We start from the raw sequence: 15,885 nt of genomic DNA on the forward strand, positions 1-15,885 counted from the left end.
TATATATATACACGTGTATATATATATATACACGTGTATATATGTAGTTTCACTTATATGTATACACACACACACACACACACACACACACACACACACCCCATGGAAAACTACTCAGTCATAAAAAAGAATAAAATATATATATATCACATTTTCTTTATGCAATCATCTGTTGATGGATACTGGATACTTAGGTTGATTCCATATCTTTGCTATTGTTAATAGTGTTGTAATAAACATATAAGTGCAGGTATCTTTTTAATATAATGATTTCTTTTCCTGTAGGTAGATACCCAGTGGTGAGATTGCTGTGTCAAATGGTAGTACAATTTTTAGTTCTTTGAGAAATCTCTATACTGTTTTCCATAGATGTTGTACTAATTTACATTCACACCAACAGTGTACAAGCATTCCCTTTGCTCCACATTCTTGCTAATACCTGTTGTTTTTTGACTTTTTAATGACTGCTCTAAGATGGTGTCTCATTGTGGTTTTAGTTTGCATTTCTCATGATGAGTGATGTTGAGCATTTTTTTTGTATGTTTCTTGGCCGTTTGTATGTCTTTTGAAAAATGTCTGTTCCTGTCCTTTGCCCACTTTTTAATGAGGCTATTTGTTGTTGTCATTTTGTTCAACATCTTGATTTTAAACTTCTGAAATCTACAACTTTAAGAGAGTACATTTGTGTTGTTTTAAGCCACTAAAATTGTGATAATTTGTTACAATGGCAATAGGAAACTAGTACAATGTGGATTGACTAAACATTAATAACTATAATTTGTTTGAATTCTAAGAAATTAAATTCTAGCTTTGTCCAATAGTCTTCAAAAGAAATGGTGGTGAAATTGAATTCTAGCTTTGACCAATAGTCTTCAAAAGAAATGGGGGTTTATTATTGAACATATGATTATATATGTGTATATATATATATACATACACACACATATATATACATACACATGTATACACACACATACACACACAAACATATATATATTATATATATATATAAATCACATAATAAGATACCCCAACAAGTAACACATGAAGCCTTTCTTGGTGATTCCTCAAGGCCAAGTCCTTTGTCATGTCATTTTCCCATGGAAGGCAGGGCAGAAGGGCACAGCTGCACAGGGACCTCTTTATTCTTGATGGTTTCACTATCACCTTCTATTTTTGATGCTCTGGTGAACCAGAGACTTCTGTGAAGTAACAGTTAGAACCATGATTCTGAAATACAGGCTTAAAGACATTAAGAGGGGACAGTTCCCTGGACTCCTCCGCGGGACCTGTGACAGGGGTGGGAGGGGTGGCTTGTTTCGCTGGGCCGAGTTCAAACCCATTGTGGGAGGGGGAGCACATGGGCCAGCAGGTCCTGGGGCAGGTGTGAGTGCTTTTGGGCTCCAGCCCCACGGTAGCATCTGGGGGTGTGTTACAATTAATGCTCTTTTAGCAGTTGCTGTCCGTGGACAAATCTAATCAGTAGATTTCTTAATCACAAGGCCTATAAATCAAAATAATTTTCCAGTTTTTTTTGCCTCTGGAAAACGTAACTGTATTAAGTGTGTTATGATCTTTCCTTGCTCATTACTGTTCACTTTAAAACAAGTTTTTATTGAAAAGGAGAAATTGCAAATGTATACATTTTACTTTAGTAGTATATAAGTACACATGGTTTATTTTGCTGAAATCATTTAGAATTGAGGCATTTGTGTAATTCCAAATACACAAAGAAAAATTAGAAGCTATTCTTTATCCTTCTTTCTCCCCTTTTTCTTGAATTCACAATGACTTTACAAGACATTTAATGTAAAGGCACTAAAGACAGTTAAAACCATTAGTCATCATGCTTTACTTAGAATTCAGCAAAGAACAAAGTTAAAGAACAAAATAGCAAGCCTGGTTTATTTGTCTGAATAATGCTTGTCTCATGATACTTTATCTCATATAAGGGAAGGAGAGGAAATCCTTAGTTACATCATATAAGGTAGCAAAAAATAAATACAATAAATGCTAGAGACAATATTTATTCAGAAAACATCAGTGAGTCCAGTGAAACTTGGAGACTCTGAAATGCTGTGCCAGTCATTAGAGCCAGGAGTGTATTATGATTTAATGGTACCTCTCTGCTGCATCTCATGAGCTGTCCTAGAAAAACATTTTGAAGCAATAAAGCATCCATTTGGCTCCTAAGTAATGAGAGGCATTGTTCTTTGCATTAACTATTTATTCAGGAAGAGAAGTGACCAACTGTTAATAAGCTTTATCCAAAGAGGGTCGTGGAAAACAAGAAAATGCAAAAGTGAGGTTCTCTTCAATTTCATATGCAATTAACAAATATCCAGAGCTGACTGATTGGTGCTCCTCTTCCATGTGACTTTTGGCTGGCTGTATTTAAGGGTGAGTGCCTGTTAGATGTATTCAAAGCTTCTGGGTTTAAGGAAGGATTCTGTAGCCTAAACCCATGACAAATGAGAGGCGGCAATGACTCGTGAGTAGCTAAGACTGGATTGATCTCTGTTGTTTTGAATATTGGACTTATTTTCTAAGATGAATAGTAATGATTTAGGCTTACTAGTTTATTCCTTTTGGGAAGGATTCTTTTTGTTTGTTTGTTTTAGAAGATTATTGCTTTTTCATTACTTGTGAAATCTGCTCTATAATCCAATGTAATGTTTAGACTTATCACTTGATCAAGAAGCTTTTAACTTGAGAAAAATTCTTATTTGGTATATAAATAGGTATGTGCTTTATTCTTTGGAAATAGTTTCCAGGTAGGAATGCAACATTTTTCTCTTGTTCTGCAAGTAAATAAATGATCTCTTCTTGACAGTAAATGTGTAGGATTTAGTAACTTTGAGATTCCAACCAGAATATTGTATTCACAAATAAATAGGGGCTTCTTTCAAGTCATTTCAGAACCTTACTTTGAAGCACTTTGATCCTATGAGAGTGTGAAGTTTTCATTCCACTTGCTTTAAGGTCCTTAATATAATTAAGTTGCCTTTTTAATAACATGAGAAAAGATAAAAGTCGCAATTCTTTCCTTCCCTAAAGCCAACAAAAGGATGTTTATGGTAATTCTTTGTCCCTGCTCTCGCTAAATACTAGTACAGTGGAGTTCTACACAGTGGGGGAAGAATCTTCATAAATCATTAAAATAGACAGTGGAAGTGATATGTAAACTCAATATTATTTAAATATTAACAGAATATTCTTGATACCATAATAAATCAATTAGGTGGCCGGGCGCAGTGGCTCACGGCTGTAATCCCAGCACTTTGGGAGGCCGAGGGGGGCGGATCACGAGGTCAAGAGATCCAGACCATCCTGGCCAACATGGTGAAACCCTGCCTCTACTAAAAAAAAAAAAATTAAGAAATCATTTAATATTGCATTCCTTTGATTTTTAATTTAAAAATATTTTCCATATTGAAAACTATGTATTCCTGCTAAGCTTACTATGAATTATTTTGAAGTATATTTAAAATCAGTTTGTAAGATGTATTTCGTGGAATAAGAATGCATTGTGTATTTGGGTCCATAGCCTTAGAAAAAAGGGCTAAAGAGCCCAAGTCAGTAGCAAAAGGATCAAAGGTAGAAAAACTCCTTAGGCTTTTTCTTTCCTAGACCACATTATTTTATCATACAGATTACAAAAACGTAAGAAATAAAGACTCAAGTTAGAAATGGAATTACCTCAGAAGATGTTAGGTTTTGCAACAATCTTTCTCTTTGGGTATTAACAATCATTAGATTGAATTATCCCTTTCAGATCATCACTCCATTCAGAAGGCTAATGCTGTGTGCTGAGAACAGAAAGGAGATGGAGGATTGGATCAGCTCACTGAAGTCTGTACAGACCAGAGAACCCTACGAGGTAAAATAGCATCTTTTCTTTCATCTCGTGTTCTTAGGAAATAAATGTTAACCAAAGGGCTAGAGCTCTACCGTGCAAACATAAGTATGTGTACACTCATTCAGCAACTTGTTTAAACCAGATTTTGAAATTCTTATCTTAAAGCAAAGTGCTTTGGTTTTAAAAATGATGGATTTGAAAATTTGACCATAACTATATGCATTCCAAACAGTTCAGCATCTGTAGCCTTGTTCACTGGCTTGGCAAATCTGTCCTCACATCTCATTTCTAGGTGGCCCAGTTTAATGTGGAACATTTCTCAGGGATGCACAACTGGTACGCCTGCTCCCACGCCCGACCCACCTTCTGTAACGTGTGCAGAGAGAGTCTTTCTGGAGTCACCTCCCATGGCCTGTCCTGCGAAGGTACTGTAGCACCTAGCATGTGTTTTCTCCCAACAGTAACCATACTGTAGACATGCTGCCACTGGTTTTATTGTAGCTTAAAATTGAGCTCTCCACACATAGGACTAGCTTGGAAAATATTTTTGCTCAGGAAAAAAAAACATAGTCATTTAAAGGAAACATACATCAAAATACAGCATTTCACCCCCAAGAAACTAGGAACTACTGTCTAAAAAAAAAAATCTTTGGACTTTGTATAATCATTCTGGTATTCTTTATTCTGGTTGATTATGGAGAGCAAAACTTTTTGTGAGGACAGTATATACTCTTTGGCAGAATTTCTGATTGTTAATTATATTGCATTGTTTTAAATATTGTTTTCTTTCATTTCATTTGTTTAATCTGAATAGGTATCATCCTTTTTAATTTCCTTAAAATTTTCTAAAAATAAGGCCTATGCTGTTGTTACTTTGTTTTGTTTCGAGAAGGGGTCTCACTCTGTCACCCATCCTGGAATGCAGTGGCATGATCAAGTCTCCCTGCAGCCTCAGCCTCCTGGGCTCAAACGATCCTCCTACCTCAGTCTCCCTAGTAGCTGGGACTACAGTCAAGCACCACCACACCTGGCTAATCTTTTTTTTTTAAGTTTTTTAAGTCTCACTATGTTGCCCAGGCTGGTCTCAAACTCCTGGGCTCAAGCAATCCTCCCACATTGGCCTCCCAAAGAGGCATGAGCAAATTTGTGAGTTATTTTTAATATAAGAGCAGTGACCACCAAAAGCAAATACATTAATAATTGCCAACAGAAAACTCATAACTTCTTTAGATTTATTTTATTTCATACTTCAGTGATTACACTGTTGTATACTACTTTTTGAACTATATATGATAATAATAATACCAGCTTTTTTTCTCTAATCCAAAAATTTCGTAATTTGGAATATCACTTATTTATAATTAAGTAATAAAGTAGTAATAGAATCACAGCCTTAATTGATTTTAAACTATAAAATCTGTGATATGTCATTGTTTCAACTATTTAATATGATACACCATAGTGGTTAAGAATAGAGCTCTTCAGTCAAACCCTCTTCCACTTCCACCATTACAAACTATAACCAGGAGAAGTTGTTTAACTCACTTAGGCTTTCCTCTCCTCATCGATAAGATGGGGATAATAGTCATTTATGCCTCATAGAATCACTATAAAAATTAAATGAGGGAATACATACAATAAAACTACTTTTCTAGTTCAATAAATTGGAAGAAGTTTGTAACTGTTTTGTAAGAAACTTATTCCAAATTTGCATCATGGGCTTGATGCATTAAAATTCATGAAGGAGAAAATTTGGAGAAGGCATTAAAGCTTTCTTTTTAGACTTAAAGAATGATTGCAAAAGAGATCTGATTGGCCTGTATTATGACTTTAGTAATCTAAAAGGATTCACATAGAGCTGAATAACTCCTACCAGGTCTGTAATATGGTATTATTTTAAAGATTTTACTAAAATCTTTATTCCAAAAATGCTGAAAAGACACCACATCTGAGACACTCTGTGGTACCCTTCTGATTTGAGTGTTATACATTATTAAATATTTTTATTTAAAAATTGAGTCAGTAGTGGAATGACTGAGTATTTTTCTAAGCATTTTAAAAGAAAAATGAAAATTACATTATTTGGTGAGAATAAGAAACTTAAAAGTCTTTAAATAAATTTGTTATATTCGGCCGGGCACGGTGGCTCACGCCTGTAATCCCAGCACTTCGGGAGGCCAAGGCAGGCGGATCACCTGAGGTTGGGAGTTGTAAGCCACCACGCCCAGCCTCAAGTGAAGTATTATTTTCTATATGAAGTCTGTGTTCTAGTTACACACTCATTTATAACAAAAATGGTGGAAGGGAAAGAATTTTTCAAAGTACACAAAAGAGAAGGTAAGCAAAACATTTTCAGTGTGTATACATTATTATCATTATTATTATTGTTATTATTTTTTGAGACAGAGTGTTGCTGTGTCTCCCAGGCTGGAGTGCAGTGGCATGATCTTGGCTCATTGCAACCTCTGCCTTCCTGGGCTCAAGCAATTCTTATGTCTCATAAGAATCCCGAGTAGCTGGGATTACAGGCATGCGCCATCACACCCGGCTAATTTTTTTATTTTTAGTAGAGACAAGGTTTCACCTTTGTGACCAGGCTGGTCTCAAACTCCTGACCTCAGGTGATCCACCACCTCAGCGTCCCAGAGTGCTGGGATTACAGGCGTGAGCCACTGTGCCTGGCCTAGACGAATATTTTTCAAGGATAAACCAGCTCAGTTTAACCATCCATTTGTACATAGACTAGTCATGATACCTGAAGCACTTTGAACATTTGGCTAAAGACATCTTAGTTATTTTACCTGAAACTTTTGTTTTCGTGTTATATCCAATTAAGACAGTTTCAAGAGAATGGTGTGTAATGCAAAATTTGTTAATGATTGACTTAGAAATCCAGAAAAATCACATGAAAAGGAGATACCTTTCATTTAAATTTAGCAACACTTACCTTAGTATGTTTCCACTGAAATGCTCTCTACTTTTAACTGTTTAGCTAAAAGTCAGGAGCTGACCTAATATCAGTATCCCCTCATACTTGAATAATTTCCTTAGAGAGATAAACATGTTTAATAATAGTCAAGTTCCAATTTTTGTAAGTATGGTCAATTTTTCAAATAACCTATAGTTCATTTGTTTTTCCATATATGTGCTGCTTTTTTTCCCTAGTTATTTCCTCCAATTTCTCTTTTATAAGTTCCTTTTGATAATATGGCTGGGGAGATTTAGTGAAGCCTGTAGTGACAACATCACTTCATCATCCCTTCTTTCTACATTTGTCATTTGGTCATCTCAACATAATACTTTCCAAAGATAGGGCCGTGTTGGTCACCCTCACCAACCTATTTTCCATGATGCCTGGCTGTCTTGTTGGTATACTTGCACTTTACAGCCCCCTGGATCAACTTTATCGTACTGACATTTTCAGACTTATAATCAGTATTTTATATGTATAGAAAAATACAATACCAGAAATGTACAGCTTGATGAATTTTCACAAATTAAACACATTCGTATAATCAGCACCTACATTTAAAATGGGATGTCACCAGCAGACCTGCTACCAAATTTTATTTGCTTCCCTCTCTCCCTCTCTCCTATGTGTGTGTTGTCTGCCTTCTCAAGCAGTAATTCTTTTGCATTTATTTCTTTTCTGTTCCTCTAAGTAGCAGTCTACTTATAGCTTTATAAAAGTGCTTCATAAATACATAGCCGTATTTGTTTTCTAGAATACCATTACTATTGTTGCAGAATAATTTAATCTTTTAAATATATTTGTTTTCTTCTACTTCCTCCTTCCCTTTTAAAATTTTATGCTGTGATTTCCTTTAATCATTGGTCCAAAATTTCTTGTCCACTTAAAAGCAGTTGCTCTTTTTTTTTTTTTTTTTTTAGTGTGTAAATTCAAGGCTCACAAAAGATGTGCAGTGAGAGCAACAAATAACTGTAAATGGACTACCCTGGCCTCCATCGGGAAGGACATTATAGAAGATGAAGATGGCGTAAGCTGCTGCTCTGTCTCTGCTCTCTTCCCACTAACTCCTCTTTTATGTTCTGCTCTTGTGGAAGCTGAGAAAGATAAGTAGGAATGCTTATTATTAGGATTTAATAGAAGGTTTGGTTGATTCTGAGTTTTTATTTTTAATTCAATCCTTCATAGCTTCTTTAGCTCTTAGATTTTGAAGGAAATCTGTTGTGAATAGGGCTTAGAAGTGGCCGTTGTGCTGGGCTGTTGTTGTCGACCTCTGATGAACTCTGAGATGTTCTTTAAGGCTTAGCTGAGAGGTTCACTCTTCAGACATTGGGGTTGCCTCTCAACAGTATACCTCCACTTTCAAAACCTCACCTCCACTGCACCATGCATATGGATTTCTGGGAACGCTTAGTGATCACTTTATTGTAATCCCTTTACATGCCTCAGCTAAATCTACCTGAACCCTGAAGGGAAAAGCTTTTACCTTACTTTTATATTCCTTGAACGTTCATAATAGATGCTCAATAAACGTGGGGTAAATGAGTGAATGCTATGCATGAAACGTACTACTGACCCTCTAGAGTGAGAAATGATTCAAAATCTCCCCTGGGGTAAGGTTGGTGTCCGCCAGTCTTCACCTGGCTGCCCTTTCTTCCTTCTCCACAGGTCGCGATGCCTCACCAGTGGCTTGAGGGCAACCTGCCTGTAAGTGCCAAGTGTGCTGTCTGCGACAAAACATGTGGCAGTGTTCTCCGTCTACAGGATTGGAAATGCCTTTGGTGTAAGACAATGGTGAGGGTTTTGGAATCAGTTCATCCTTTTTAATTAGCTTCTTTCCCTAACTTTGTCATCCACGTGGTTTAGAGGCAAAGCAAAGAATTTATGACAGAGCTGAACCTGGTAGCATACGCATCTCATGATGACATTCTTCTTTCCTTACAGTATAGTCCTCCTAGTCTGGTCATTGTTTCAAATGCCCTGTAAAACTTATTCTTGTTCATCCGTGTCCTGTGCCTCAGGATCTCTTACCCATAGTTGTATTGTTTTTTCATTTTGCTTTATCAACAAAGTGATTTGCTGTATTCAGGCCTATTTTACTACCTGAAAGCCCTTCTCTGGTATGTCACCAAATTTTGGTTGACATGTGACATGTAAATTTGCTACAACCCTACCAGTGCTCTCTGACAGAGGTGAACAGCACATGCAGCCGAACATGAAGCCAACAGCTGATTATTTATGCCAGATATGGTGAGGACAGGGCCTCTGGACTGTGTGAAGACAGTCAGAGTAGGAAGGAGATCATGTAGACAGTGGCATGGGACTGAAAAACTGCAGGATGAGGAGGTCGTGGGTGTGAGCGTTCATCTCAGCACTGGGCGATGCTGCTCTACAATGATAGTGATTGCCTTGCACTGGGGCTGACTTATTTGGTGGTTTTGAGTCTTGTCTTTTAACATTGCTGGCTGAAATTTGGAAGCCAGCCTCAAATTTTAAAATATGGAAAAACTATTGTTTTTGGTATGTATGGTGTAGATCAGCAAATGTAAGAGATGTGTGATGTATTGCTTTCCTAATCAATGAGATTGTCTGATAGGCTACAAAGGAAAATAAGTCCTACAACTTTTTAGTTAGGCCTGATAGGTAAATCTGTGTTTCTTTTCTTTGTCCTCATGCTTTTGTTATTCTTCATTGATTGCCTCTTTTACTAGCCTTAGATATGTTACTAATACTTTTTCTCTTATCTCATTTAATCTAATATATAGACTGTAACAGGTGTCTCTCTTTACAATCTTAGTGCAAGCCTAGCCCCTAAAACCTTGTCATGCCATTTTTTTATTTTAAAGGAATTCTACCCATAAACAAGATTTTAAATCATCATTCCACCTCAGATTTCTTTTTGAGAGGACAACCACTGATAACAAATTTTCCTGCTATTTTTATTGGCCTGTACATTTACTAAAGTCGATTTCTCTACTTCTAGAGCTTCAACTGTTCACTTCCAATGTATTAGAAAGAAAACACGGCCGGGCGCGGTGGCTCACACCTGTAATCCCAGCACTTTGGGAGGCCAAGGTGGGCGGATCATGGGGTCAGGAGATCAAGACCATCCTGGCTAACACAGTGAAACCCCATCTCTACTAAAAATACAAAAATTAGCTGGGCGTGGTGGTGGGCGCCTGTAATCCCAGCACTTTGGGAGGCCAAGGTGGGCGGATCATGGGGTCAGGAGATCAAGACCATCCTGGCTAACACAGTGAAACCCCATCTCTACTAAAAATACAAAAATTAGCTGGGCGTGGTGGTGGGCGCCTGTAATCCCAGCTACTCGGGAGGCTGAGGCAGGAGAATTGCTTGAACCCAGGAGGCGGAGGTTGCAGTGAGCTGAGATCGTGCCACTGCACTCCAGCCTGGGTGACAGAGCAAGACTCTGCCTCTCAAAAAAAAAAAAAGAAAAGAAAAGAAAAAGAAAACACATAATGTGTGATGAATTATTTTAGAAAGGTTTTATGTAAATTTTTTTCCCTGCAATTTGTATATCTTTACTTTAAAAAAAAATCAGTAGTTTTTAAACTCTGTTAACTTTAACAGCAGGAGTTAATTAGGTTTATTACTTGCTCATTCTATTCACCCCTAACTTTTAAACATTTCTTAACTAGAATAGCAGTGGTATTACAGATGGTAGAAGGGAGGATGCCTTTTCTCTCGTTTTTCGTGGCAAACTCAAATTTCACCTTGTGACATCATTCCTGCCCCACCCTATGTAAGTTGGACTTGCTGGTTTCTGAGCTACCATCACCTTATAGCACCTCTCTTAGTCTTGCACTTCCTATACACAACCATTTGCCTGTTTACATATTATTTTGCCTTTAAAACATGAGTTTCTGGCCTGGTGCAGTGGCTCATGCCTGTAATCCCAGCACCTTGGGAGGCCAAGGCATGTGAATCACCTGAGGTCAGGAGTTCGAGACCAGCTTGACCAACATGGTGGAACCCCATCTGTACTAAAAATACAAAAAAATTAGCTGGGCACGGTAGTGCATACCTGTAATCCCAGCTACTTGGGATGCTGAGGCAGGAGAATCGCTTGAACCTGGGAGTTGGAGGTTGCAGTGAGCTGAGATTGCACCATTCCACTCCAGCCTGGGCAACAAGAGCAAAACATCATCTCAAAAAATAAAAAATAAAAAAACATGAACACCTGTAATTCCAGCACTTTGGGAGGCCAAGGCGGGTGGATCATCTGAGGTCAGAAGTTCAAGACCAGCCTGGCTAACATGGTGAAACCCCGTTTTTACTAAAAATACAAAAATTAGCCAGGAGCAGTGGCAGGTACCTGTAATCCCAGCCACTTGGGAGGCTGAGGCAGTAGAGTTGCTTGAACCCTGGAGGTGGAGGTTGCAGTGAGCTGAGATTGCGCCATTGCACTCCAGCTTGGGCAACAAGAGTGAAACTCCATGTCAAAACACAAACAAAAACATGAGTTTCTTTTTTTTTTTTTTATTTTGCGTATGTCTTTTTTTTTAATTATTATTATACTTTTAGTTTTAGGGTACATGTGCACAATGTGCAGGTTAGTTACATAGGTATACATGTGCCATGCTAGTGTGCTGCACCCATTAACTCATCATTTAGCATTAGGTATATCTCCTAATGCTATCCCTCCCCCCTCCCCCAACCCCACAACAGTCCCCAGAGTGTGATGTTCCCCTTCCTGTGTCCACGTGTTCTCATTGTTCAATTCCCATCTATGAGTGAGAACATGCGGTGTTTGGTTTTTTGTCCTTGCTATAGTTTACTGAGAATGATGATTTCCAATTTCATCCATGTCCCTACAAAGGACATGAACTCATCATTTTTTATGGCTGCATAGTATTCCATGGTGTATATGTGCCACATTTTCTTAATCCAGTCTATCATTGTTGGACATTTGGGTTGGTTCCAAGTCTTTGCTTTTGTGAATAGTGCCGCAATAAACATACGTGTGCATGTGTCTTTATAGCAGCATGATTTATAGTCTTTGGGTATATACCCAGTAATGGGATGGCTGGGTCAAATGGTATTTCTAGTTCTAGATCCCTGAGGAATCGCCACACTGACTTCCACAATGGTTGAACCAGGTTACAGTCCCACCAACAGTGTAAAAGTGTTCCTATTTCTCCACATCCTCTCCAGCACCTGTTGTTTCCTGACTTTTTAATGATTGCCATTCTAACGGGTGTGAGATGGTATCTCATTGTGGTTTTGATCTGCATTTCTCTGATGGCCAGTGATAGTGAGCATTTTTTCATGTGTCTTTTGGCTGCATAAATGTCTTCTTTTGAGAAGTGTCTGTTCATATCCTTTGCCCACTTTTTGATGGGGTTGTTTGTTTTTTTCTTGTAAATTTGTTTGAGTTCATTGTAGATTCTGGATATTAGCCCTTTGTCAGATGAGTAGGTTGCGAAAATTTTCTCCCATTTTGTAGGTTGCCTGTTCACTCTGATGGTAGTTTCTTTTGCTGTGCAGAAGCTCTTTAGTTTAATTAGATCCCATTTGTCAATTTTGGCTTTTGTTGCCACTGCTTTTGGTGTTTCAGACATGAAGTCCTTGCCCATGCCTATGTCCTGAATGGTAATGCCTAGGTTTTCTTCTAGGGTTTTTATGGTTTTAGGTCTAAAGTTTAAGTCTTTAATCCATCTTGAATTGATTTTTGTATAAGGTGTAAGGAAGGGATCCAGTTTCAGCTTTATGAGTTTCTAACAGCAGGATATCTAGTGCCTAAAACATAATCTATGTAGTGAAAAAAGAAAACAAACAAAATAAAAAAGCCCATAGCCCTATAAACCTAATGAATCAACTTATAATTTTTCCTACTGTCATCCAGGTCTGTGGACATAGTTTTACCTTTTCTGTAAAAATTGTGAAGATATAATTTGATCATCTGCTTTTCTTATTTAGCATTATTATAAATACCTTTCTGTTTTGCTCCATGGTTCTTATACATTTTAAAATTACTTTTAAAGCTATCTGTGTGTGCTAGTTTTTCTAAAATGCATTTGGATTGTTAATTATTGTAAAGCATAATAGAAAACTGTCTAAAAACAGGTCTTCACCAGAATTAGAATTATTATTGAATTTTAGTTATTCTCCCAAAGGTTTTGATAAATACAGGTTTAATTATGCCAGTTTTCTAAAAGGACTAATAAAATAAAGTCATATTAAATAAGAACTTGATGAAAAGTGTCTGCTTTTACTGGTTAAAACATTTAGAAGGCTCTCCAGACAAGTACACAAACTAAATTGCCTGGGTCCTACTTAATAAGTTATCCTTGTTTTTGTTCTCAGTAGTACCTTGCATGACCATGAAACTCATTTCTACTGAAAGCACATTTACTGGGTGCCTGTGATACGCATCACTTTCCTTTACCTTACAGGGCAGCAGTCCAGCTGAGAAAATAAGCATGGGGGTACTTGTAACTTTAATAATAGGGAAATGTCATAAAAGAAATGTGAATAGAAAGTTATGGGATTACTGCAGAAAAAGCAGGCACTTTATAGATTTTATCTTTGTTAAATTTTATAAGAATTTTTATAAGAACAAAATAAATGTTCTGTCATCAATTTATTTTATGGGCAATGATATTGACACACTGGTTAGTTTCCGTCCTTCTTCTTCCTTTTCCCCTTCTTTTTCTCTTCTCTGCCTCCCTTCCTCTGCACTTGGTCTCTTCTCTTTCTCTCTCTTCGCCTTCAACAGTTATTCATTAACTATATATTCCTCTCTGAGATAATTACAAAAATTGGTTGCATGGACTAAAATCAAATTTCCATTTCTAAAATGTTTAGTCATTTCCTGAAGTATAAATGTTATACCATTTAAAGTAGTTTATGAATTACTGAACATTTTGTGGTACAGTTGATTCTAGATTATCAGTTCCTTAGATGTGATTTATAATGGCAGAACATTATTTTTATGATTCTTGAAGGTATATTTGTTTGTCATTAGGTACACACTGCCTGCAAAGATTTATACCATCCAATATGTCCACTTGGTCAATGTAAAGTATCTATCATACCTCCAATTGCACTAAACAGCACCGATTCCGATGGTATGTAGCAGTAGTGTAAGTACGTATATTTCTGGTATATTTAACATTGATATGTATATTTCTTTTCCTAGAATAATAACTATGATGGTAATTGACTATTGTAGTCAGTTTTTCTAAAATAATTCCATTTAAATTGCTGAAAGTACATTCCATTTTTAAAAGAATATATTTAAGTGAAAGTTGTAGAATAGCTGTTAACATTGGCGAAATTACTGTATATAAGACTTCTAGATTTTATGTTTTAGTAAATAAAACAAGATCATTACTCTGTACGGCAATACAATCTGAAAAGGTTAATTTTTATAAGTGTTTTTTTCCTCTATAATTGAAACTGCCTATTAGCATGGCTGTTATTAAAATCTGTTTTTCTGTAATTTCATTGTAGGAATTTATATTCCTATAAATGCACTTTTCCCAAAATCTTACAACTTAACTCTAAAGTGCTGAGGAACCCCTCTACAACACCGGTTTTGGGATTGCATACTAATTACTTCCTTCTAAGCAAACCGTATTGCAAAGGCTTTTTACCATGTATAATGCTATGCTGTTTTATGTAACAGACTTGAGCAACTGTGGATTTTGATATTCATAGGGTTCCTGCAGCCAATTCCCCCAAAATATACAGGGAGGACTGTACTATTATTAATGTCTTGCATTGATATCATGCCTTATGCTTTTCAAACTTTTTAATTTATGCCAATAGATATCTTAGATATAAGTTTATAAACCTGAAGATGTAAGTTTATAAACCTCAAAATATGTGACTTTTTTAAAAACCTGTGCTATTAACAGCCCTCTCCCCCAACCTAAGCCCTGATTTTGTTTACTATAAATTTTAAAATATTCTCTCAGACTTCAGAAAAGAGCAGTTAAAATACTTTGAAATATTGAATATGAACATAAGAATTACATACAAACATATAGGTTTGTATGTAAATAGTTAACCTATCTCTATTTGGAGAGCTAAATTATAACTTAATGCTCCAGTTTTTATGAATTTATTTTCTTTTCTCTGAATGTTTGCTAATAATTTAAAAGAGAAAGCTGTATGTATTGATCTTGTGTTGTGTTTTTTTCACAGGTTTCTGTAGAGCAACATTTTCGTTCTGTGTTAGTCCTCTATTGGTTTTTGTCAATTCTAAGAGTGGAGATAATCAGGGAGTAAAGTTCCTCCGTCGCTTTAAACAGTTGCTAAATCCGGCTCAGGTGTTTGATTTAATGAATGGAGGTCCTCATTTAGGGTAACTGATTATTGATAAATCTTATTTGAATACAATGTAGGACTAGGTGTTAAATGTGTTTGGTTTTTCAGCTCATGAAAATTACAGATTCCTCTAGATCCCTCCCTCGTTTTTAAAGCTCTAATTATAAGTTTTAACACAACCTTTTGGATAGTTATACAACTGTCTTGTATAAATTCCTAATTTCTCAATTCCAAAATTTGTTTAGAAAATGTTTTAGAATATATTCTACATCAAACAATACTAACAATTTCTTTAGCTCCAAGAAAGATCAACTTGCGTAAATATAGAAATATAAAGTAATATTAGAAAATGATTTGCATGGAAGGCTGATATTGATTTACATACAATATAAATAATCGATTATTAAACCAAAGTACAGGGACTCTCATGGCTGTCAAGGGCAGTTCTTCAAGGATCTCAGACTCAGTTCACATAAATGACAAAGAAATACTTTATTGATGATTCTTTTCAGCTTTCTGGATGTCATATAACTTAAAATCTGTAAGATAAAATGAACTAAGTGGTATTTTCACTGAGGGAAAATATACCTTTTGGCACTTTCAATACATTTTTAGGGTATGCATATGATTTTTCTTAAGAGGCGATATTATGTCTTCTGAACCAGGGGCCTTCAAACCTCTATGTAACATACTTACAGCAACTCAGCTTTTCTCTTGGGTTCCACCATTACCTTAAAGCATGAACACGGAAGTAGAAGTGGGG

General features: G+C 36.4%; 1 protein-coding gene across 8 annotated transcripts in view; it reads left to right on the forward strand.

The window, feature by feature from the left end:
- DGKH (diacylglycerol kinase eta) overlaps positions 1-15,885 on the forward strand; it is a 216,515-nt gene that overhangs the window by 111,446 nt on the left and 89,184 nt on the right. For 6 of the 8 annotated variants that reach the window (NR_123714.2, NM_001204504.3, NM_178009.5 and 3 more), the window contains 6 exons: positions 3,776-3,880; positions 4,152-4,284; positions 7,751-7,857; positions 8,496-8,621; positions 13,816-13,918; positions 15,000-15,159. Coding sequence is in view for 6 of the 8 variants with exons in the window: in NM_001204504.3 (NP_001191433.1) it covers positions 3,776-3,880; positions 4,152-4,284; positions 7,751-7,857; positions 8,496-8,621; positions 13,816-13,918; positions 15,000-15,159 (734 nt within the window). In the remaining 2 variants the exon portion in view is untranslated. Of the gene's footprint in view, positions 1-2,234; positions 2,401-3,775; positions 3,881-4,151; positions 4,285-7,750; positions 7,858-8,495; positions 8,622-13,815; positions 13,919-14,999; positions 15,160-15,885 lie in introns of all 8 variants that reach the window. The other 2 variants (NR_123715.2, NM_001297429.2) reach the window with 2 other exon arrangements.

Source organism: Homo sapiens, chromosome 13 (assembly GCF_000001405.40).
Source record: "Homo sapiens chromosome 13, GRCh38.p14 Primary Assembly".
NCBI lineage: Eukaryota > Metazoa > Chordata > Mammalia > Primates > Hominidae > Homo > Homo sapiens.